General features: G+C 44.5%; 3 annotated features.

Annotated features, from left to right (window-relative positions):
- Positions 23343-23909: an enhancer, noted in NCBI's record as "NANOG-H3K4me1 hESC enhancer chr6:150740537-150741103 (GRCh37/hg19 assembly coordinates)". NCBI's record gives its function as "activates a minimal SCP1, AML or CMV promoter by ChIP-STARR-seq in primed H9 embryonic stem cells {active_cell/tissue: H9 hESC(primed)}" and the evidence as "EXISTENCE:reporter gene assay evidence [ECO:0000049][PMID:30033119]".
- Positions 23910-24478: an enhancer, noted in NCBI's record as "H3K4me1 hESC enhancer chr6:150739968-150740536 (GRCh37/hg19 assembly coordinates)". NCBI's record gives its function as "activates a minimal SCP1, AML or CMV promoter by ChIP-STARR-seq in primed H9 embryonic stem cells {active_cell/tissue: H9 hESC(primed)}" and the evidence as "EXISTENCE:reporter gene assay evidence [ECO:0000049][PMID:30033119]".
- Positions 23923-24217: an enhancer, noted in NCBI's record as "tiled region #9409; HepG2 Activating non-DNase unmatched - State 4:PromP, and K562 Activating DNase unmatched - State 4:PromP". NCBI's record gives its function as "activates a minimal TATA promoter and a strong SV40 promoter by Sharpr-MPRA in HepG2 and K562 cells {active_cell/tissue: HepG2 | K562}" and the evidence as "EXISTENCE:reporter gene assay evidence [ECO:0000049][PMID:27701403]".

Below are 25200 nucleotides of genomic sequence, written 5' to 3'. Positions count from 1 at the left end.
GGACTCCAACATTTTTTTTTTGAGGGTGGATGGGGATACCATTCAACCCATAACACATGGCCACCCCAAACCAATCACTAGCATGGGGAAATTACTGTGATTGGCTCAGACCAATCAGATTCATCCCCCGAGGCTGAAAGTGGGGCACAACTTTCCTGAGCAGTGACCGCCTGAACAAAACTGGTTTTCCATAGATGAAGGGGAAGGAGTACGGTTAGTGGGTGCCAATTCAATCCAAATGGAGGCCCAGAGAGATGAAGCGACACATTTAAAGTCACATAACCAACCCATACTCCCTCTTGGACACCATGCTGAGATACATTGTGTCAGTATAGGAATTACCAGTGCTTGCTTTTCCTGGAAAATAAAATCTGTCTTCCTTTTCCTTCTCTCCTGACTTCTGTACCCAGGGAGTGGGGGAGAAAAAGATACCAATTACGCCTTAACCAATTTTTCTCTTTACTCCTGCCCCAAAGCTTTTTTGCTTCACTTCACCCAGTTACCCTTGAGATGCTACTTGCCTATAATCCTAAGTTTTGAGCACGGAAAACCAATATAACCTTAGAGTTTCTACCTGAAACAAAAAGATTAAAATGATCATGTCCTTGATGTCTCATAACTGAGATGAGGTAATACACAAGAGATTAACAAGGACAAGTATTGACCAGACTGTAGTATCCTGTGGCTGGGATATCTTGTGGTGAGAATCATTAAAATAAGATCATGCAATAGAGCTTTGCAAGATGTTCTCAAAAACAAAATCTCATCATGGTGCTGGACACGTGAACCAAAAAAAAAAAAAAAAAAAGAGTTTAAGCCTGAAAAAAAACAAAAACAAAATCTTCAAATTCAGCTGGAACTGAATGCTTCTCTTTTACTCGGTACAGGAAGCACATACATATGCAGTTCTCCAGGCTCAAGATGGATTCTCAGGAAAACCAAACAAGATAGGAGCAGAGGGCCAGCATGGTGGCTCATGCCTGTAATCCCAGCACTTTGGGAGGCTGAGGCAGGCAGATAACTTGAGGTTGGGAGTTTGAGACTAGATTGGCCAACATGGTGAAACCCTGTCTCTACTAAAAGCACAAAAATTAGCTGGCTATGGTGGCACACACCTGTAATCCCAGCTACTTGGGAGGCTAAGGCAGGAGAATCGCTTGAACCTGGGAGGTGGAGGTTGCAGTGATCCAAGATTGTGCCACTGCACTCCAACCTGGGTGACAGAGTGAGACTATGTCTCAAAGAAAAAGAAAAAAAAAAAAAAGGAATGAGCACAGAACTCATACACAATGTATTTATCTTTACAAGTAAAGTATAAGTACTTAATTAATGCAAGGACTTAAGGGTTTATTGAATTATCTCCTGCATGTGTGCACTTCTTAAAATAAATGGTGATTGGGTCCTAGACTATCCTCAAAAACCCTGTTCCATCTGTAATATTTCTGAAGTATAAAACTACATGTTGTGTATGTATATAGTTGACAGTTGAACAATGGAGGGTTAGGGGCATCAACCCCCTGTGCAGGTCAGAAATTTGGGTCTAACTTTGACTCCCCCAGAACTGAATTACTAATAACCTCCTGTTCACCAGGAGGCTTACAGATAATATAAATAGTCCATTAACACATATTCTATATGTTATATGTATTATATATTGTATCCATACAATTAAATATACTAGAGAAAATAAAATGTTTTGAGAAAGTCATAAGAAAGAGAAAATATATTTACTGCTTACTAAGTGGAAGTGGATTATCCTAAAGGTCTTCATCCTTGTTTTCACGTTGAGTAGGCTTAGGAGAAGGTGGATGAGGAGGGGCTAGTCTTGCTGTCTTGGGGCAGCAGAGGTGGAGGCAGGAAGGGCAGGAGAGGCAGGCACTCAGTATAAATTTATAGAAAGACATCATAATTTCTGTTTGACTTTCTTGCTTTTTTGTTTCTCTAAAAGTGTTTCTATGCTACAGTGCCAATTCTTCAACCATTTGCTTCAGTTTCAGTGCCAGTATCATGGAAGAGTCCATGTCATAAAAGAATTCAAAGCAGTCTTGAATAATCAGAAGACTTCTCCCAGATTGTCTAATGTTTTCTGGCACTGCTTCATCTGTCTTTCTCTTCATAGTCTGGCACTGGTTTGGCGTCACTCTTCTCCATCAAGTCATCTTTTGTTAATTCCTCTGGTGTGGTGTCTTTTAGCTCTTTAATTTCTCCAAGAACCGTATCTTGACACCCTTTACCCCTATCTTTTTTTCCATAATCCCTTTCATTATTTCCTTGATTGGCTCTGTTGTAAATCCTGTGAAGTCATGTACAACGTGTGGACACAGTTTTCTCCAATAGTAATTTCTTGTTTTGGGCTTGATGGCTTCCATGTTTTTTTTCTGTAACAGTGATGGCATCTTCAATGGCGTAAACCTTCCAGACTTTCATAATGTTCTCTCTAATCAGGGATCTCTTCCATAGCATTGACAACATTTCCCATAGAGTACCATGTGTAATGAGTCTTAAAGATCCTTATGATCTCCTAATATTGGGGCTGAATTAGAGACTTTGTGTTTGGGGGCATGTAGACCACTTCAACCACTTCACCTTTAAATTTCTGGGGTTCTCAGTGGCCAGAGGCATTGTCTAATATCAAAAGAACTTTAAAAGGCAATCCCTTACTGGCAAGGTACTTTCTGACTTCAGTGACAAACCATCAATGAAACCAATCCAGAAAAAAGGGTTCTTCTTGTCCAGGCCTTCTTGTTGTACAACCAAAAGACTAGCAGCTGGTGTGTGTCCTTTCTCTTTAAGGCTCAGTGGTTAACAGCTTTACAGATAAGGGCAATCCTGATCACAAACCCAACTGAATTTGCACAGAACAGTACAGTTAGCTACCCCTTCCTGCCTTAAATCCTGGTGCTTGCTTCTCTTCTTACTAATAAATGTCATTTGTGGCATTTTTCCCCCAGAATAGGCCACTTTCATCTGCATTAAAAATTTATTCAGGCAAGTCCTAATTACCTTCTTAATGGTGCCTGGGAACTCATCTGGTGCCTCTTCATCAGTAGAAGCTGCTTCTCATGTTATCTTGATGTTTTAAAAAGTCAAGCCTCTTTCTAAAATTATCAAACCATCCTTTGCTGGCATTAAATTCTCCAACTTTACATTCTTCACCTTCCTTTGCTTTAAGGTGTCATATAGTGACTTAGCTTTTTCTCTAATCATATTAGAGTCTGTAGGTATGCGTTTCTTACAGCAATCCTGCAACCACACACACAAAAGTTGCATTTTCAATACAAGATTAAAAAGGTGTATTTCACAAAAAGTACAAGGTTTTTGTGCCTGCTGACAGATGCAGGGATGGTTTCACAAATTTCCTTTTCTTTTTCTTTTTTTTTTTTTACAATGATCCTTACACCAGATTAATTTGTCTTGAAATGGCAGGCAATTGCAATGGCAGACATCAACCTATGATATACATAAAGTAATTAAGTTTTTTTTTTTTTTTTGTAATGTCATGACTTTGCTTCTTGGGAGCACTTCCAGCATCACTAGTGACACTTCCTATGAGTCCCATGATGTTATTCAAGGTTTATGGTATTGCATAAACACAATGAAAAATGCAAGAGAACTGTGAGAGATCACTTTTTACTGGTGTACACAACCTACTGGAGAGATGAACTAATCATACGGAGATAATTAGCATAATACAGTCTTTAAATGGATACTCACAACACTTGGGCTCACCTCAATAAAAACAGGAAGTGGCTACGAAATTATTACAGTAGTGCTGTATGTACTATAGTTAATTCTATGCTATATGATTTTTTTTTTTTTTTTTTTTTTGAGACAGAGTTTTGCTCTGTCGCCCAGGCCAGAGTGCAGTGGCGCGATCTCGGCTCACTGCAAGATCTGCCTCCCGGGTTCAAGCCATTCTCCTGCCCCAGCCTCCCGAGTGGCTGGGACTACAGGCGCCTGCCACCGCTCCAGGTTAATTTCTTTTTTTTGTATTTTTAGTAGAGACAGGGTTTCACAGTGTTAGCCAGGTTGGTCTCGGTCTCCTGACATCGTGATCTTCCTGCCTCGGTCTCCCAAAGTGCTGGGATTACAGGTGTAAGCTACCGCGCCCAGCCTGTATGATTTTTTTTTACTATAATTGTTCTTTTCTTTAAAATGTTTATTTCAATAGTTTTGGGGGAACAGGTGGTTTTTGGTTACATGGAAAATTTCTTTAATGATGATTTCTGAGATTTTGGTGCACCCATCACCCCAGCAGTGTGCACTGAACCTAATGTGTAGTATTTTATTTCTCACCCACCTCCCACCCTTCTCCCTGGCTCCCTAAAGTCCATTATATCATTCTTATGCTTTTGCATCCTCATAGTTTAGCTAAATGAGAACATACAATACTTATTTTTTCATTCCTGAGTTACTTCATTTAAAATAATGGTCTCCAACTCCATCCAGCTTGCTGCAACGCCATTATTTCGTTCTTTTTATAGCTGAGCAGTATTCCATGGTGTATACATTTTCTTTATCTACTCATTGGTTGATGGGCATTTAGGTTGGTTTCATTTTTGCAGTTGTAAATTGTGCTGCTATAAACATGCATGTGCAAGTGTCTTCTTTATGTAATGACTTCTTTTCCTTTGGATTGAAACTCAGTAGTGGGATTGCTGGATCAAATGGTAGTTCTACCTCAGTTCTTTAAGGAATTTCTATACTGTTTTCCATAGTAGTTGTGCTAGTTTACATTCCCACCAGCAGTGTAAAACGTTACTTTTCACCACATCTATGCCAACATCTGTTGTTTTTTGATTTTCAAATTATGGCCATTCTTGCAGGAGTAAGGTGGTACCTCACTGGTTTTAATTTGTACTTCTCTTACAGTGATGTTGGACATTTTTTCATAGGTTTGTTGGCCATTTGTATATCTTCTTTTGAGAATTGTCTATTCATGTCCTTTGCCCACTTTTTGCTGGAGTTATTTGTTTTTCCTTGCTCTTTTGTTTGAGTTCCTTGTAGATTCTAGATGTTAGTTCTTTGTCTGATGCATAGTTTGTGAATATTTTCTCCCACTCTGTGGGTTGTCTATTTACTCTGCTGATTATTATTATTATTATTATTATTATTATTATTATTATTTTGCTGTGCAAAGCTTTTTAGTTTAATTAAGTCCCTTATTTATTTTTGGTTTTGTTCATTTGCTTTTGGTTTCTTGGTCATGAATTCTTTGCCTAAGCCAATGTCTAGCAGGGTTTTTCTGATGTTATCTTCTAGAATTTTTATGGCTTCAGGTCTTAGATTCAAGTCTGATCCATCTTGAATTGATTGTCGTATAAGGTAAGAGATGAAGATCCAGTTTTATTATTCTACATGTGGCTTGCCAATTATCCCAGTACCATTTGTTGAATAGGGTGTCCTTTCCCCACTTGATGTTTTTGTTTGCTTTGTCAAAGATCAGTTGACTGTAAGTATTTGGCTTTATTTCTGGGTTCTCTCCTCTGTTCCATTGGTCTACATGCCTATTTTTATACCAGTACCATGCTGTCTTGGTAACTACAGCCTTGTAGTATAGCTTGAAGTTGGGTAATGGGATACCTCCAGATTTGTCCTTTTTGCTTAGTATTGCTTTGGCTAAGTGGGCTCTTTTTTGGTTCCATATGAATTTTAGGATTGTTTTTTCTAGTTCTGGGAAGAATGGTGATGGTATTTTGATGGGAATTGCATTGAATCTGTAGATTGCTTTTGGCAGTATGGTCATTTTCATGATATTGATTCTACCCATCCATGAGCATGGGATGTGTTTTCATTTGTTTGTGTCATCTATGATTTCTTTTTTGCAGCTGTTGCAAAAGGGATTGGGTTCTTGATTTGATTCTCAGTTTGGTCGTGTTGGTGTATAGCAGTGGTACTGATTTGCTTACATTGATTTTGTATCCTGAAACTTCACTGAATTCATTTATCAGATCTAGGAGTTTTTGAATGAGTCTTTAGAGTTTTCCAGGTATACAATCATATCATTGGCAATCAGTGACAGTTTGACTTCCTCTTTTCCAATTTGGATGCCTTTATTTCTTTCTCTTGTCTAATTGCTCTAGCTAGGACTATGCCATATGATTTAATACAATATCTTTATGTTTGCTTACATTTCTTTTGAATGTGAACGGTGCCATGTATGATCTGTAAGTGTGTGTGTACGTTCTGATAAATTTTCACTTTTTATAATAGATTTGTGTGTATTTTGCAGTAAATAAAAAATTAGATTAGTATTTACATATATTTTATACATTCATGACATAACTTCACTTAACCTTTTTTCTTTTTTTTTTTGATATTTTTGAGGCTCTGAGGTTTGTCTTTGAATTTTTTCAAATTGTTTCAAACCTCCAAAATTTTTTCCAATATATTTATTGAAAAAAATCTGTGTATAAGTGGACCCACACAGTTCAAACCCAGTTGTTCAGGAGACAACTGTACATACGTGTGTGCATAGACATATTCTGTATGTGAGAATAGAAACATGTAAGAAACAATGCACTATTTTCAATGACTTCTCTATGGAGAAATAAATATCAACCTAGACTGTCAGGAAGCTATTCTCCTTTCTTCCCTGCTCCCTTGCTTCCCCCATCACATCCTCCCAGCCACCAGCCTTGACAGTGACTCTATGGTTTGATTCTGTACCTCACCTCATCCTGTTAGGCGGTGGAAGGAGGGCTTCCCTTCCACCAAGCCCCTACTGGGGTCCCATGGAGAGGAGGAGCTCAGCAGCCCTGACAGAGTGAGTTGGGCCAGGCACCCGAGTCCTGAGCAACTAGAAAGGGGCTGGGGAGAGGGCGGATGGGCGCTGTTCCTGGGTCCCTTCCCACTGCCTGCCGTACCAGCCCTGGTGTGAGTGGGCACCTGGGCAAGTATCTCAGGGGCAGCAGGAACGAAACAGGATTTCCACTCCCTCCCTGCCTCCTTCCTCCTCCTTCACAGAGCAGAGACTTCCTATGGTGCGGAAGGGGGGCCGTGGGGGAGGCCTCTCCTCCCTTTTTCCCTCTTCATTTGACCTCGAGAAGTAAGGACTGAGGCTGCTACTCCAAAAGAGGGAGGAGAGGAAGAATTTGGAGAGGAGAACAGGGAAGAATTATAGCCATAAAAAGGAAGAAAAAGAGGAAGAGAAGGAAAAGTCCCAGGGGAATAGAAGGCGCCAAGGCCGGCTCCCATGGCCACAGCAAAGATGGCTGCCGGTGTGAGGCTCTGTCAGGGCCACCTCCTCTTGTTCTTTGTCCTTCATCACATCCGGTCCCGCCCTCACCTCGGTAAGTCACAGATGAAGGGGCAGCTGACTTCCCTATCCACATATTCTCATAGAGCCTGACTCACAAAACCGCAGAAGAAAGTCTGTAGCTCTCTCGGCTGGGCATGCCTGTAATTCCAGCACTTCGGGAGGCCGAGGTGGATGGATCACTTGAAGTCAGGAGTTTGAGACCAGCCTGGCTAACATGGTGAAACCCTGTCTCTACTAAAAATACAGAAGTTAGACAGGTGTGGTGGAAGGCACCTGTAATCTCAGCTGCTCAGGAGGCTGAGGCAGGAGAATCACCTGAACCCAGGAGGCAGAGGTTGCAGTAAGGCAAGATTGCACCACTGCACTCCAGCCTGGGTGACAGAGCAAGACTCCATCTCAAAAAAAAAAAAAAAAAAGAAAAGAAAGCCAGCCTGTAGCTTTCTAGCACATGCTGAGAGTTTTTATTTAGATGCAGACAAATGACGTTACACCTAATGACATCACACTTCCCCTCCATTATTGGTTTCGTTGCCCCATTTTCCATTCCATCATCACCAGTATTTTTAATATTAAGATCTGTTAGAAGGTGCGTAAAAGGAGGATTGTCCTCAAAAGGGAGATGATATCAAGAGTGGAAGTAACTGAAAATTTTTAAAGCAAAAAGAGAATATCTGTATTACACTGATATTGTCCACTTTCTTCCTTTTTTTTCTTTTTTTTTGAGACAGAATCTTGCTCACTGCAACCTCCGCCTCCTGGGTTCAACCAATTCTCCTGCCTCAGCCTCCTGAGTAGCTGGGACTACAGGCACACGCCCCCACGCTCAGCTAATTTTCGTATTTTTAGTAGAGACGGGGTTTCACCATATTGGCCAGGCTGGTCTCAAACTCCAGACCTTGTGATCTGCCCACCTTGGCTCCCCAATGTGTTGGGATTACAGTTGTCCACATTTGGCAGAGGCCACAGTTGGCCACATTTGGCACCTTATTTTTGAACCACCTGAAAAGCAACAGAAACAAGTGGTCAATTTTAAGTGTTTTTGAATTAGTGTAGAGTAGACTGGTGTATGCTGGGCCTAGTGTATTCTACCTAGAATTTTAAATTTAAGCTGCTATTTCAATATCAGAGTTGTATAGCCTAATGGTTCAAGTGTGCTCAGGGCTAGGAGTTTGGGCAGAGAAGTGCCCACAGATAACAGCTGAGAACTCTAGCCAGCCAGAGAGAGGTTCTTAAGTCTCTAAAACAGTGGTCCCGTAACCTTTTCAGCACCAGGGACCAGTTTCATGGAAGACAATATTTCCATGGATGGAGGTGGGGAGGGAAGGGGGATGGCTTTGAGATGAAACTGTTCCTCCTTACATCAATTAGATTCTCATCAGGAGCACGCAACCTAGATCCCGCGCATGTGCAGCAGTTCGCAATAGTGTTCGTGCTCCTAGGAGACTCTAATGCTGCTGCTGATCTGACAGGAGGCGGAGTTCAGGTGGTAATGCTTGCCCCCCGCCACTTACCTCCTGCTGTGCAGCCTGGTTCCTAAGAGGCCACGGACTGGTACCAGTCTGCAGCGGGGTGTTAGGGATGCCTGCTCTAAAAAAACTGACATGTTGGTAAATGAGGATAATGCCTTAGATAAATGAGGCCCTAAAGACCTAGGGTGGTTATTTAAGTCCCCTACCTCCTCCGACTCATTCATTCATTCGTTCTTTCATTCCATATATACTACTTGAGGATCTATGTTTTAGGATTTCTTAAAATTAGGCATGGGCTTTATCTGAGCCAGAACATATTTTGTTTCCTTCTTTCTTTTTTTTTTGATGGAGTCTAGCACTGTTGCCCAGGCTGGAGTGCAGTGGAGCCATCTCAGCTCACTGTAATCTCCACCTCCCGGGTTCAAGCAATTCTCCTGCCTCAGGCTCCCCAGTAGCTGGGATTACAGGTGCCTGCCACCACGCCCAGATAATTTTTTGTATCTTTAGTAGAGACAGGGTTTCACCATGTTGGCCATGCTGGTGTCGAACTCCTGACCTAGTGATCTGCCCACCTTGGCCTCCCAAAGTGCTGGGATTACAGGTGTGAGGCACCATGTTTGGCCCCCATATTTTGGTTCTTTTAAAAGCAATGAGATAGAAATTTTAGGACAGTGACACACAAAGATTGAAAAACGGTTTTCATATCCTTTTTAAATCCCCTTCAAGGGCAATTAATGCCTATACTACTTGGTGGTGTGGAGAAGACAGGGGTATGGTGAGGATAAGGGAGGGAATCAGGGGTTCTGGTTTTCCATATTCAATCTGAGACACCTGTCAGACATCTGAGAGGTGATGTCAAGCTGGCAGTTATCCAAGATCAAGGGAGAGATCAGGACAGGAGCTATAAGTGTGGTAACCATCAATGTACGAATAACATGGAACCCATGGCAGTGACTGAAATTGCCTTGGGAAGGCTGAGGACTGAGTCCTGGAACACAGCAAAGAAGATTGTGAGGGAGAGTCCAGTGAGATCAAAGGAAATTAGTGCAAGTGTGGGGACCTGGAAGTCAAGTGTTTTAAGGAGAAGTGATCAACTGGTTAACCGCTACTAAGAGGTCAAGTAAGATGTGACTGAGAATTGTCCATGGGATTTGGATGAAAATGGTCCAGGACATTGTCAAGGGTAGTGTCTGTGGAGAGTTGCAGGTGCAAACCTGATTGGGATAGGCCGAGGAACAAATGAGACAGGAAGAACTGGAAACATCAAGTGTGAAAAGTGGAGTGGATGCTGCCTCCAGGAGATGCTTCTCTTATGGGGAATGATCCTTTAATTTTCTCGTCTAAATCTGAGTGACTATTTTCTCTAAAGAGCTTCCTCCTGTTCTGTCTGTACTGCAGCATAGATTAAGGCACTCTGAAATTCCTCTCTTTTTGGTGGTTATCTTTGAGGTTGGATCCACACCAAACAATAAATTCCTCCCTAGACAGAAATCTGGACACTGTGACACTCCCTGAACAAGGCTATGTGTTCATCCCCTGCCTGGCTGCAGAGCTTGACGCTGGAGCACTTTCATGCTTCCTATCACAGGGCCTAAGGTAAAATGGGGCTGGATTATATATATGCAGTGTTATAAACTGCCAGATTTTATTTTGTGTGAATTTAAATATTTTCCTAAATTCTGTTTGAGGTAGACAGTTGAGTTCATTGCAATGCCTAAACATAAAGTCAGTCTATAGATTTTATCTTCTAGAAATAGGGAACAAATCTGGTTGTGCATTCTACTTCAGAAGAGGACAATAGAGTCTTAAGGAGCCTGTGAATGCTCAGGGCGAGTTAGGGGTTTTTGAAGTGCTGTCTCTCCTGTGGATAAGGCAACAATCCCAAGTGAGATCCTCAGGTTTTGACTGACAAGGCTCCTGGCACCTGGCAGGAACCCCTGCAGAAGGCAGACCACCTGGAGCTATCTCTGCCCCACACCTTCCTTTTCTTCTTCTTTCTTAAAAGAGACAGAGTCTCACTCTGTCACTCAGGCTGGAGTGCAGTGGCAAAATCATAGCTCACTGTAATCTTCACTCCTGGGCTCAAGCAATCCTCCCGCCTCAGCCTCCTGAGTAGCTAGGACTGCAGATGCGCACCACCATGTCGTGCTAATTTTAAATTTTTTGTTGTTGTTGTTGAGACAGGGGTCTCACTATGTTGCCTAGGCTGGTCTTGAGCTCCTGCCTCAAATAATCCTACCATATTGGCCTCCCAAAGTGCTGGGATTACAGGTGTGAGCCACTGTGCCCAGATGGTGCTTGTCCCCCACACTTTCTTTACAAACATAGGTAATTAAAGACATATAAATAGGATACTCTTCTGACTTTTGTGCCTTTGACCCTGTTAGTGTTACTGAGCAATGGGCTCACTGTCTAACACACATGGAAACCAATACCATGCAGAGGCTAATGAGAAAGAAAAAGCTTTCTTGTGAATCAACTGGCAAGGACAGGGGAGGCGATGCTCAAATCGTCTCCCCAGTTGCAGGTGTGGGTCAAGCTTCTGTGGCCTTTCTTACTGGTCCCAGGTGATGTCAATGCAGCTGGTCTGCCAGGCTGGTGGTGGTAACAATAAGGAGGTTAACACTTTTCCCATTGCACATGCCCGGGCAATTTTGGCTCTGCATTACCTGTGACAACTTAAGCAATGGCTAATCAGTCTCAGCTGGTCCCACAGTTACACTGGCATAAACCCAAGTACTATTTAGGAGTAAAATGAAAACTCAGCCAAAAGTAAGTAAAGGCATAAATACATAAATAGTGCCAAAAAGGAGCTGAGAGCCTCAAATCATAGAAGACTATTAGTCGGGGTTGCGGGGGATTGCCCTCAGAAATCATCCAGCCGAGCCCCCATATTCTGCAGGAGAGAAACCAAGGGCCAGGGCAGGAAGCCCTGAGCTCAGCCCTCCTTTGCCCCATGATCTGTCTTCCGCAGAAGGCAGCATCTGGCAGAGAAAAATGAGAAACCTGCCCAGAGAGATCTTGTGTAAAACCCCCTGATTGTCATCTTTCCTTCTTTAATTTTTTTTTCAGTTGTGAAAGATACATATTCTGAAGAACGTATATGGCAGGTATGAGTAGTTCCCCCCTCCTGCTTCTGGTTCTACATTTTTACTGGGAAAATAAAATCCTCAGCTGGGTGCGGTGGCTCACACCTGTAATTCCAGCACTTTGGAAAGCCGAGGCAGGCGGATCACCTGAGGTCAGGAATTTGAGACCAGTCCGGCCTACATGGCGAAACCCCCATCACTAATAAAAGTACAAAAAATTAGCCGGGCGTGATGGCATGTGCCTGTAATCCCAGGCACTCGGGAGGCTGAGGCAGGAGAATCGCTTGAACCTGGGGGGTGGAGGTTGCAGTGAGCTGAAATCACGCCACTTCACTCCAGCCTGGGAAAAACAGCGAGACATCGTTAAAAAAAAAATTCCTCCAGGCTGCAAAGAATGAGGCTTTTGAATTTCTAGGCTAGGAAGTGCGTGCTGGTGAAATGAGACCCTTCATGACATCATGCAAATATTAATGCCGACCCACCCGGCTGGCCTGTGTAGAACCACCACCTCCCAGCTTGGGCTGGCTTCTGGCCACTCACAGCACTGCTGGCAGTTCCTTTGCAGGTGGGGATGAGGCCCAGGGCTAGCTTGGCCCACCCAAGCCCAATGCCCCCTTGCAGCCAGCTCAGCAACTAACTGGCAGGGGCCTTCTTGTCATTGCTGTCGCTGCAGCATCTTCCTGCAAGAAATTCCACAAGGTTACATCCTGCAGGCATGTCTGCTAACTCTACACAGCCTAATCCAAACATTTAAAGGTGCCATGTGCATGTAAACTGATCATTCAATTCATTGGGGAAAAAAAAATTTTAAACCCTAGATCCTGACTGTCAGTCCGCATAGTAGAAGCCCTTTTATCCAAACATTATTGACTAAGGGATCATTATTGATTAGCTGGTCATCTAATTAGAAAATAATTCAAATGAGCGGATGGTATAATCCTAATGGCATGACAGAAGTGACCCTTTCATTGATTCTTAACAAGCTCCATGGTTCTTATTGGCAAAATGGAGTAGTTATCCAAATGGGTGGGGTGCCCACACAGCTTCCTTTTCTTCCCTGGGGTTGGCACAGATGCCAACCTTCTTGCCCAGTGCTCTTGAGTCCCAGAGCAGTTCGAGGCTCCTGTCTCTCAAACCCACTTGCTCCTTCTCTGTGGCTAAACTTTCCCTTAGAATCCACCTATGACCCAGCCTCGATGGATCAACTCCCCCCTTTCACTCCTAGGCCCATTTCCACTCCTAGGCCCAGCAGCCAGGCCAAAGCCCAGACCTGAGTTCACTGGCCTGGGGTGGGGCAGACAATTCACTCCTCACGTGCTAGACTTAGGGAAGCACTATTTTGCCCCCAGATAATCAGCCTGGCCTCCCAGGCTCAAGGTTGGCCCATGGCCTGGTCCTGCTGCTCCCCTAGATGCCCTCCAGGGGTGGAGATGCAAGGGATGAGACCTGTGATCGGAGCAGTAGAATAGGTCTTTTTGGCAAGCAGAGCTCTAACAACTAGAGGAACTGTGTCTGGGCATCAGAACCCACCAGAACCACACGCGCCAGCTCACCGCGGGCAACTTCTGCAGCTTCTACCACACTGAGATGGGCAACACGGCCTAAGGCCTTCCTGTACTTCCTCCCCACTGGTGGGCTTATATCAGCCACATTCATGGCCAAGTTGGCGAGGATGAGCTGGGAGGGAAGTGTTGCCTCTGGTGGGGAGTCCAATCCTGAGCGGGGGACACACTGTCCTCCTGGCTGCACTGTCATCAATCTGGATCATTCTCGTTTCTTCCTCTGCCATGTGACAGTGTGCTAGATGGGGGTGGAGCACCTGCTGTCACATCTGTCTTTGAGCATGACCATCTGAATTACTTTGGCCAATGGGATGTTAGCAGGCACAACATGACCAGAGGCTTGACTTACACGTGCTTGTGGGGATTGACTTGTCCTCTTGCACATTGCAGGGTCTGCTCTTTCTCTTCATCTTAGGCTACCTCTCTGTTGCAATAGCCTGGCCTAGGAGTCGAGGTAGGTGTGGGAATGTTTGCCCACTTAGGGCCTCAGCTTATTTTCTAGTTGGCTGCCGCTGGACCCTCCCTCTCCAGCTTCTACCCCCTCTAAGAGTAGAGCTCCTTGGAGTTGTTTCTCTTTGTGGAGTGACTCCTCTGTAGCTTCCTTCCCCATTTCCAGGGCTGCTGCTTCCTTTTTAAGTCTGATCCCACATCCATGTTGACTTTCAGAATGTGAAAGGTTTGCCTTATCTACTGAACTTTTGTCTTGTAGCTAAAATCACACTGTTTGCCCCTCCTACTCGCCTGTCAAATAACTTCAGTGAGACAGTATTCCACAGAAGCACCTAAGCAGACCAAACTTTTGAGGGTCATAGCAGACAGTAGTGAATAGATTCCTACTAAGGGAGAAAGCAACAAAGGAAGTGAAATTTTAAGAAATATATGTATTTTCAAAACTCCACATACCAGTTTTTCTACACAAAGGTAATATAATTCCAAAGAGTGTTAAATCCTTCTGACATCAGGACGTTTGCAAACACATGTGTGGTACTCAGTTAGGCACTGACAACTCTTCCCCCAGCAGCTCACTGACAAGAACTGGTTTGAACCAATTAGACATGTGTGTTCTAGGGAAATTCACTCCTTTGCAAGCTTAAAGAAAAATTATAGACAGTTTACTCTTGCTCTACTTAGACAAGACAAATTCTTAGTAAGTGAATGAACTCTTTTAGTGTAAATTAGACACATTTGGAAAGTTGCTTTGGCCAAGCACAGTGGCTCATGCCTGTAATCTCAGCACTTTGGGAGGCCGAGGTGGGTGGATCACCTGAGGTCAGGAGTTCGAGACCAGCCTGACCAATATGGTGAAACCCTGTCTCTACTAAACATACAAAAATTAGCCAGGCGTCATGGCATGCACCTGTAGTCCCAGCTACTTGAGAGGCTGAGACAGGAGAATTGCTTGAACCTGGGAGGTGGAGGTTGCAGTGAGCCAAGATCATGCCACTGCAGTCCAGCCTGGGTGACAGAGCAAGATTCCATCTCAAAAAAAAAAAAAGGTGCCTTGAACTTCCATGAGCATGTGATCTATGTAGCTGCGCAGAGCTCCAGAATGGTTTAATGCTTTGGGTTTAATGCTCTGCTCTCTTGAGTATAGAATTCTTAAATTTTGAACAGGGGGGCTCTGCATTTTTGTTTTGCACTCGGCCCCTCAAAATAGGCAGCCGTTCCTACTTTTAGGTCACGATTAAGAAGAGAAAGGTTCTAAGTGTACTTTCATAGCTTTTGCTCTCTGTCTAATCTCTTGTTAATTCACATGCATGGCTAGAATCTACTTTGAGACTGGAACCGTCTTCCACAGTAAACTGAGCTTGTAAAACTTTGCCCCTTTTAATTGTGGTGGGAAGGGTCATGGGAGTTGCTCTGTCTTAGTGGTTTTTCATGGCCAGTGGAAATATAATATTCCCTCCCACCTCCCCTACTCTATTCAGAGCAGCCCACAGCCATGGGTTTATGGCCACCACTCCAGGCCTGCTTTTCACCTCTGTCCTCCCAGAAATAAAACAAACGGTGAGATTTTGCTCTTTTAGGGGAAATGACAAGTTCAGCAAACTTAAGACTGCATTTGTGGCCATGGTTTGAAAAGAAAGCCCAAAAAGTGAAGGAATATGAACATGGTGGGCAGTGGTCCAGCCCCAAGGATGGTTAATTTGAGACGTGGGGTGGCTGGGACCTGAGATGGCCACCAGCAAACTGACTCCAGGTGAGATGGATGTCCCGTCCCTGAATCACAGGAAGACATCCCACCTCCCAGGATGCCTGCTAAGGATGTGGGACTGTGTTATGAATATTTAATCAGTGACTTTTAATGGTTTGGTTTTTATCATCTCTCTTATTTAAAAATAATTCTGACTTCATTCCTCCCCCCAAATATAAATAAAAGCAAAATAGCGCTGAGAGAGCATTTGCTGTGGCTTCTTAATCATTTTTCTCGTTGTAATGCCCAAGACTCAGTGCTCCCTGGGTGTACTTGAGGTTAGAAAGATTCTCTAAAGTGCTCCATCCTTCCTCATTCCCCTCCCTCAGTTCCTGGCCTTTGCAGGAACTAAAGTTCGTGCCTCTTTTACTGGAAGATTGTCCAAGTGATTAATTACCATATAAGAATAGAGTTAGCCCTGGATCTTTAGTTCCCCCACCTCCTGCAAGACATTGAGTATAATTATCTAGAGAGTTCATTAAATGCATGATAGTTATGCTAGTTCTCCCTGAACAGAGACAAATGGTGAGAAATGATTAAACTGCTCGCCTAACTAATAACTCATGGCGACAATTTTATACGGAAAGTCACATAAGGAGTGACACAGCATGAATCAAGAATAACCTCTGGAATAAACTGCAAATAGTAGTAAGTATTGAAGAAAAGACAACATTTAACCATCTAAACTGTCCTGCAGTGACCTACCCCTAATTTTGCCTCAGTTGATCAGTAACAGCTGACATTTATATGGCACTTCACTGGTTATAAGTGTCTTGTAGGTACACAATCATATTTTTCATGATCTGAGAAAATCCAAAAGGGTAACTTCCCACTGGAAATCCTCATTGTGGACTTGGACAATAAATAATGAAGATGAGACTTCATCATAGGAACCGAGTGACTGGAATGGCAGTGGGGACATGGCAGTAGCGCCTGGCACAACTGCACCTACATATTCATCCTCTGCAAAACTACCCAACACGCGGAGCTTCTTCACCCTTCCTGGCTTTTCTCTCTTCTACCTCTGGGCCTCCCTCCCCTCAGCCTGTTAAATGGCCAACTTGCCACCCCTCCCCTCCTCAGCTTTAGCTTTCAGTTCTTATTGCTGCGTCTCCCTGCTTTCCAGAGCTCCTGATTACACAGGAGCGACATCTAAGCAAGGCCCATCACTCTCCGGACCACATGGCCCCTTTGGTTGCCTCGGCCTTGCTGTCCAACGTCCTCTTCCTCACCCTCCTTCCTCTGAGAACACTGCTTAAAGCAGGCAGCTCCATGCACATACCACGGATGTGTCTTCTCACCTTGTGCCTCTGCCCAGAGCACCTTCCTATCTGGAGCAAAAGTTGGCACACTTTTGCTGTCAAGGGCCAGACGGTAAATATTTGAGGCTTTGCAGGCCACACAGTCTCTGTTGCAACAAATCAACTCACAAAAGCAGCCACAAACAATTCAGAAACAAATGAGCATGGCTGTATTCCCATACAACTCGATTTATAGAAACTAGAGTTGGAATTTCATGTTGTCATATGGCGTAAAATATTCTTCTTCTCTTGATTTTTTTTCAATTATTCAAAAACGTAAAAACTATTGTTAGCTTGTGGGCTGGATGTGGTCCAGGGGATGTAGTTTGCCAGCCCGTGGCCTAGACTATTACTAGTGTTTCACAGCCATGTCACATATCACTTTATTTGGTAAACTTCCCTGAGTGTTGGGCATTTTAAGCAAAAGGCCCCCTGTCTATGCTCTGATGGTGTTACGGGATCTTTGGGGTGTTACTTTTCTTGCTGGAAACCTGTGGCCGGTGGTGTCTTTGCCCGAGTTTTGCTTTGGGCCTGCTGGGTTTGTTCCACCCACTTGGCCATGTAGGCTGTGCTCAGCTCATGCTACCGCCCTGGATCCCACACCTCCAAGGGAGACTGTGAGTCAGGCATGGAGCAGCGAGGGCTGTGTGAGCAAGTGAGGGGTCCAGCCACTGTGCAGTTGGACACACCGGCTGCTGCCATGATGCGCGCAGCTCCAGGTGCCAGCATGGGTGCCAGCTCTCTGCAAGGCTGCAGCTGGACCAGGCACACCACAAGCAGCTTCCCCTGATGGCACCGGGAATTGCGATGGTGCCCAGAAGCTTGGAGATACCAGGAACCACAGGGTTCCAGAGAGGGAATCACAGCCCTGGCTCGGGGAGCTCACAGGTCTGGGCCCCCTGAAGGGCCACAGCTCTTCTCCCCTTCTCTTCACTTGCAACATGGTGAGCAAGGGGCATATTTCAACTCTGTGTGTGTTACAGCTCTTTTAGCCCTGCCATTTGATGGGTCCTGAGTTCTTGTCCTGCAACCAGGAAGAATGAGTGATGCAGAAAAGTGGAGGGTGTGCAAGACAAAGAGGAGCTTTGTTGAGCAATAGAACAGCTTAGAGGTGACATGCAGGGGTTAGGCCCTTTCTACAGCCAGGGCATCCCAACGAGTGTTCAGCTCCTAGCACAGAGGAGACCCTGGAGTGAGAAGCTCCTCTCTGCAGGCAGGTCATCCCATCATCTCTGCAGCTCTCAGCAGAGGCAGCACTGGATGGGGTCATTCCTGTCTACATGCAGGTCGTCCCATCATCTTCCCAGCTCTCAGCATAGAGGAGGTCCTGAGTGGGTAGCTTCTCTCTACAGCTAAGTCATCCTGATGTCTGCTCGGCTTTGGCAGAGCCTGGGGCTTTTATAAGCCACAGAGGGGAAGAAGTGAATGCCAATTGGCCCATGACCATGGGTGGGCCTGGAAAAGGAACCACAAGTTCCCACTCCAGTTGGCGGGACTGGCAGCCCAGCCCACAGCCTTCAGGCCCTCCCTGATGTGAAGGTAAGGCCTCACCAGGGACTTGCCCCCCTTCCGCCAAGGAACCTGTCTGCCTCCTGTCGATTTTTATGGTGCCAGGCTGTAGGTGCCAAGGGGCACCTGTAGGCCAGTGCCGAGCTGCCCTCAGCACCCCTTGGCTTCACACCTATACTCGTTGGCACCCAAAGTCCAGAGGGGGCCAAGGTGGAAGGGGCCTTGTGTGTCAGCACTGCCCTAAGCGTGTGCACACCCAGCCAGGCTGTAACAGCCCTGGACTCAGCCCTGACTTTGCTCCATGATCAGAGCAGGCACTGACAACAGGGAGAAACCAAGCAGCAGGAGCAGATATTTTGGAGCCTGTGAGAGCAGGGTTGGCCTTCATGGGCCTCCAAGAGCACAGAGATGTCTGGGTCTGCAGATTGATTTGGGTGGCTGCAGCTGCACCCTGAGGGGTGGGGCTCCTGCCTGCTCCATGGAGCAGGAGGCCTGGGTCTACAGCTGCAACTTGGGTAACTGCAGCTGCGCCTGGGAAGGTGGGGTTCCTGCCTGCTCCTGGCCCCTCCAAGAGCACAGGGATGCCCAGGTCCACAGTCATGGCTTGGGTGGCTGCAGCAGCACCCAGGGAGCTCCTGCCCCAACTTAGAAGGGGTGGGGCACCTGCTTGTCCCCAGTTCCCACTGACTCCATGGAGTGTGCATACCTGGCCGCACCTCCCTGCTGCAGCCAGCATGATGGCAGCGGCTGCTCCAGAAGGCCTGCCCCTGCCATCAATGGGACCCAATTCATACTTCTTTGTCAGCTCTTTCCATTCGATACTGATAATCTGCTTACATTTCTGACTGTCTACCAGCAACTAAGGCCCTTACGGGTAGGGCTGGTGATCCAGGCCTGGCCTGCTGCTCCCAGCAGCCACTGAGTGGAATTGGGCACTCTGGGATGGTGTCTGAGCCATCTTCTCTGATTCGCCTGGGGCCCTAGAGGACAACAGATCACTGATCGTGAGAAAGGGGCATGTGGGCCACAGTGGGGGCCAGACCCAGTCACCTGATCTGGAGAGAAGGAGGCAGTCATTATGGAAAACATGTACCATGGTCTGAATGAGTGTGTCTCCCCAAAATTCGCATGTTGAAACCTAATCCCCAAGGTGATGGCGTTAGGAGAAGGGGCCTTTGGGAGGATTAGAGGCCCCAGAGAGCTACCCTGCCCCTTCTACCATGCGGGAACAATGAGAAGTCACCATCCATGAATTAGAAAGTAGGCCTTCACCAGACACAGAAGTTTCTAGCACTTTGATCTTGGACTTCTCAGCTTCTAGAACTGTGAAAAATAAATTTCTGTTGTTTATAAGCCATCCAATCTATGGCATTACAGCATAGGAGCCTGAATGGATTAAGATGGCGTAAAACGATGCTTGAAACATGAAAACTCCGGGAAGGAGAGTAAGTCCTCCAAGGGGGGCATGTGAAGAGGAGGGCATTTCCCTGTTGTGGGAGTCTTCTAAGGCTTGGAGGTAGTTTCCTGCCTCAGAGTAACCAGCACTACCCCAAACCCATAGGCTCAGAATTTCCCACAGTTCCTGGGGATCTGCATTTTAAGTAGGTACACCAGGTGATTCTTCTACAAATCACAGCTTGAGAATGACCCTGCCCTGCTTGAGTTCAGACTATTTGGCGGTCTCTGAAGATTGCTTCGGGCTGCATCAAAGTTAGGGACATTGGGGTAATTGCCTGTTCAGCACTCTTATAGCTCTAGCAGGAAGCACAGATATCCCAAGGACTCCCAGGGGTCCAAGAACACACTGGCCACCATGTGTGCATCCACAGAGCAGTAGAACACAGTGCATCCATGCAGGTGAGCTCAGCAACGGTGGGAAGGGCCGGAGCAGCGGCAAGACACCGGTGGAGAACAAGACATGAGGAATGTGAGGAGTAGGGACAGCAGTGGGGTAGACACTAAGCCAGCAGATATAGGACAGGCCTAACTCATTAATCGAGCCACCTGGAAAGGTCAGACACATAGACTCTGCAGTCAGCCTCTCTGGTTTGAGTCCTAGCTCCACTTCTTACTAGCTGGGTGGGTGACCTTGGACAGGTTATTTCATCTCTCTTTGCCTTAGTGCCTCATCAGTAAAATAGCGACAATAACAGTTCCTACCCATGGATTGTTGTAGGATAAAATGGGTTAACACATGTGAATATATCAGAACAGTATCTGAGATGCAGTTGGCATCATGCTGTCATTGCTGTCATTGTTATTACCATCAAGAATCCACAGCCAGTAGGACCTAACAAGCATTTATGCTACCAAATTAGTGTTTGGCAAACAGTTGTTCAACTGCACTGAACTATGTCAAGCTGCAACCTGGGTCTCTCCTTGCCCAGCATGTACCAGGCTCCAAAACTAACTCTACCCTCCTCTTGGGGTCTCGACTCTTCACAGAGAAAAATGATTGACTTCAGGTAGGCTTAGGAACCAATATGGATGAAACGCAGCTTCTAGAATTGTACTACCCCGACTCTGCCATTTATAGTATAGTCAAACTATTTAAACTCCATAAGACTTCATTTTCTTATCTGTAAACATGGCAATAACCTCCAGCATATGGTTCTTGTGAAAATTTAAATAAATGATATTCTATTTAAGTTAATGATCTTTTCTTCTCAAAAAGAAAAGCAATCTAGCTAGGGTTATTTATATGGTAATGAACTTAATCTGGTTGAAGTGCCAGTATTTTTATGAACATTTTAAAAAGCAGAAAGCGAATCTATTTAAATCATATATATTTCTAATTGGTGGGATAAGATCAGGGGGTCCCCTCTTTTGCTTTTTGTCTGCTGTTAACCCACCATTCCAAAACCCACAACAGGAGAACAGATTGTCTGGATATACTGTATTTATTTTAGCTGTTCCTATGGAATAAATTACTTCTGAATTTAGTGGCTTAAAACAACGATAAACATTTATTATCTTACACCATTTCTATGGATCAGGAAATTGGGAGCAGCTTAACTGAGTGGTTCTGGTTCAGGGTGTCTCAAGAAATTGTAGTCAAAAGTCATCTAGGGCTGCAGCCATCTGAAGGCCTAATTAGAGGTGGAAGATTTGATTCCAAAATGGTGCACTCACATGGCTGGCAAGTCGGTGCCGGCTGTTGGAAGAAGGCTTCATTTCCTCATCATGTGGCCCTCTCTGCATGGCTTCTTGAGTGTTCTTACAATGTGGCAACTGGCTTTCCCAAGAGCAAGTAATCCAAAAGAAAGCAAGGGAAGCTGCAATGACTTTAGTGACCCAGTCTCAAAAATCACACTCTCTCATTTCACAGTATTCTATTGGCTGCACAAGTCAGCCTTATTCAAAGTGGGAGGAGATGACACAGGGTGGAATATCAGCAACAGAATCATTGGGGGCCATCTTGTAGGCTGGCTTCCACATTTACAAAGGACTTAAAGCCTGTTTTCTTAAGGACTAGATTAAATCAACTTTTAAAATATGCTGTTTTACTTTAAAATTCCCTTGGTCAACACTTCACCAAGATTCTTTAGTTTAAACAAATGCTGGAAATAGGAAGTTAATTCCCAAGGCCATATTTTGCTTATTCCTGACTGGGTATGGTATGAGTGGGCGGATTCTTCTGGGGGAGTACATCAAGGAGTGAGACATGGCATTTCTCACCCTGAAACAAATAGTTTAGTATCTTCTCAAACTTTGTATTGCTGGCACATGTGTGCTAAAAGAAAAAACTTAGACAAATTAAATTTAACACGGTTTAGTTGAACAAAGAATGATTTGCAAATTGGGCAGCCTCCCAAGCCAGAGTAGGCTCAGAGACTCCAACGCAGCCATCTGGTGGAAAAGTTATGGTCAGAAAAAGGAAAGTGACACACAGAAAACAGAAGTGAGGTGCAGAAACAGCTGGATTGGTTACATCTTGGCATTTACCTTATTTGAACATGGCTTGAACAGTTGGCCCCCTTTGATTGGCCAAAACTCAATGATTGTCACAGAAATAGGTTACAGTCTGTTTATACCTCCATTTAATGTATAGCTCACCATATAGGGAGAAACCTTTAGGCTAAATTTAGAATATGTAAGGAGGCAGCTTTAGGCTAAACTTGATTTAACGTGTGTGTATGGTAGATATCAGAATACTTTGCAACAATATCCATGTTCTCTTCTTCTTGAGATAGGTCCTTGGGACTAGTTCTTATGAATGGGATGTAAGCAGAAATTATGTATGTCATCTTCAGACTGAGGCGGTTGAGTGGAATGTGATTTATCCATTTGCCCTCTCTTTTGTCACCTGTTGATAGGATGCAAAGCATTGGTAGAGGGAACCATGGTACTAGAAGATGACAGAGCAACCAGTTTGAAAGAGCCTGGATCCCTGAATGAATGTATGGAGCAGGGCTCTCTCTCTGTTGAATGGTGATGAGAGTGAGAAATAAACCTTCATTGTACAAAGCCACTGAAATGGTTTTTTGTTACTGCAGCAAGTATTACTTGCTGCTACTAATGCCAAGTATAAATCATATTTAAATCTTTGCCATCCTGGGATTCAATTTAATTATACAAAACTAAATTCATGTCTACTTTAATATTCATGTTTTCTCATAGAAGATACCATTTTTTAAATAATAGGAGCGCCAAGCCCCAGAACATAGCTCTAAGGTGAAAATGTATAATGTCATAACTTATTACATGACATCTGGGTCAAGAGAATAGAGAAGACGGTGGGGTTTAAAAATAAAAAGTAAATAAGGGTTATAAAAAATGCAATACTATATAAAAATTGATCCAATGTATTCAAAAATTAAAGACTCTCTATCTCTTAATAAATACCAAAGTACCACAAGATTCTTTATATACACCAAGGACTAGGCAAGTAGAAAAAACAAACAAACAACTTTAACCTTATAATTCTAGAATGAAGGATCATCTCCAGAGTCCTCAGTAGGGCGCTTATAAACAGCTCCTAAAATCTTGTCAGCACAATCAAGGGCTGTTTCTCAATCTCTTTGTATAAAAAACTAGATTCTGTATTAGTCTGTTCTCAGGCTGCTAATAAAGACATACCCAAGGCTGCGTAATTTATAAAGGAAAGAAGTTTAATTGACTCACAGTTCCATGTGGCTGGGGAGGCCTCACAATCATGGCAGAGGACGAAGAGGAACCAAGACACATCTTACATGGAGGCAGGCAAGAGAGCGTGTGGAGGGGAACTGCCCTTCATAAAACCATCAGATCTCATAAGACTTACTCACTATCACAAGAATAGCACGGAAAAGGCCCACCCTCCCAATTCAATTACCTCCTAGGGGGTCCCTCCCACTGCATGTGGGAATTATGGGAGCTACAATTCAAGGTGAGATTTGGGTGGGGACACAGCCAAACCATATCAGACTTTATTCATTTTGGTTCTTCCTTTGAGGAAACTGAGTCCCATAAGGAAATGGAGGAAAACATGGCCAGCAGTGCCAACTCTCACCCCATTCACTTCCCGCCCTCAAGGGTGTGCTGCCCTTTCCTTAGCACCACCCACTCCAGGGCCGTCACCATCGCAGTGGGGGCTCTCCGTGTTTCCTGAGATCTCAAACCCAAGCGTTTCTTGGGGCAGCAGCGGGGGGCCTCGCCATGGAACTCCCGGCTCCCACGAGGGCTTCCGTGCCTGCTGGCTCTTCCGGCTTTGAGCGTCCGCACGAGAAGCCCCCTGCTGGCCACATTCATGGCGTGGGGACCTCGGGCTAAATAAATTTCATTTCTCTCTTCTCCCTCCTAAGTGTCTTCCACTATTTTCCTTTGTTGGCTCTGGACTTGTTCTAAATGCAGCCCTACTAAACTTTCGGGGGGCCTGAGTGTTTCTGGCATTAAGGGGTGCAGTGGGGCGGGGGGTGCAGAGGGGCTGGGGCTGCGCTGGGAGATGGCGTTGTGTTAAGTGAACGTGGACACAGTGGTATTTACAGCCTCACTAACGTGCCTTGTCTTGCTGCCCTAGCCTCTGACTGTGAATAAAACACTTCTCCTATTTTTTTTTTTAAGACAAATGACAAATAAAGCTGGGTGAAGAAAGTAATCATTTACTTTGTGTCTTCGGACATGACATTTCTTTCCTAACATCTTTCGGAAAGCTGGAGTTCCCTAATGCCCTGCTAAAGAAAATGATTGACATCTTTCAGAGGGCTAGGAAATTTATGCGCTGGAAAACAATTTCCAGGACGTTGGAGATGAGTAATTTCCCTCTCTATCACTATGTGTACAAAAGAAAAGGGACCCAGGGCGCTGATGTAACTGTATGAAAAATAAATGTGTGGCAAAGGAATAGTAAAAATACTTGAACTGAAAACAAAGAGAAGTAATCATTTTTTATAGTTTGGCTGTAGTCACTGAACAATTGATTTAGATGACTAAGTCTAACACATCTGTATTTACACGATCTGGAAGACATAAATTACTAACACGTAGAAAAATTTTGGAGAGGGGAAGTAAACTACAGCTTAAGTATCTGATGAAGTAATCTAGCAAGACTCACTTTTTCATTTCTGCTGAAGTCTTGATTACATCTAGCATGACTGTGCCATCTAGTGGTTTCACAGTAACTGCCTCGAGTTGGAGGATACAGTTCGGAAAATTGCTTTGAATATCCCATGAACTCTTGGGTAGGTGCAAAAGTAATTGCTGGTTTTGCCATTAAAACAGCAATTTCTTTTGCACAAAAATGGCCCAATAAGAAAGAGATTGAAAGAGTATTTCCACGGCACCCACACGCAGCTAGTTCTGAATTACTTAAGCCAATCATGGCATGAAAGCTCATG

This window comes from Homo sapiens, chromosome 6 (assembly GCF_000001405.40).
Source record: "Homo sapiens chromosome 6, GRCh38.p14 Primary Assembly".
Lineage (NCBI taxonomy): Eukaryota > Metazoa > Chordata > Mammalia > Primates > Hominidae > Homo > Homo sapiens.
The sequence above is the reverse complement of the archived record's forward strand: the minus strand, read 5'-3'. Positions and strand labels throughout refer to the sequence as shown.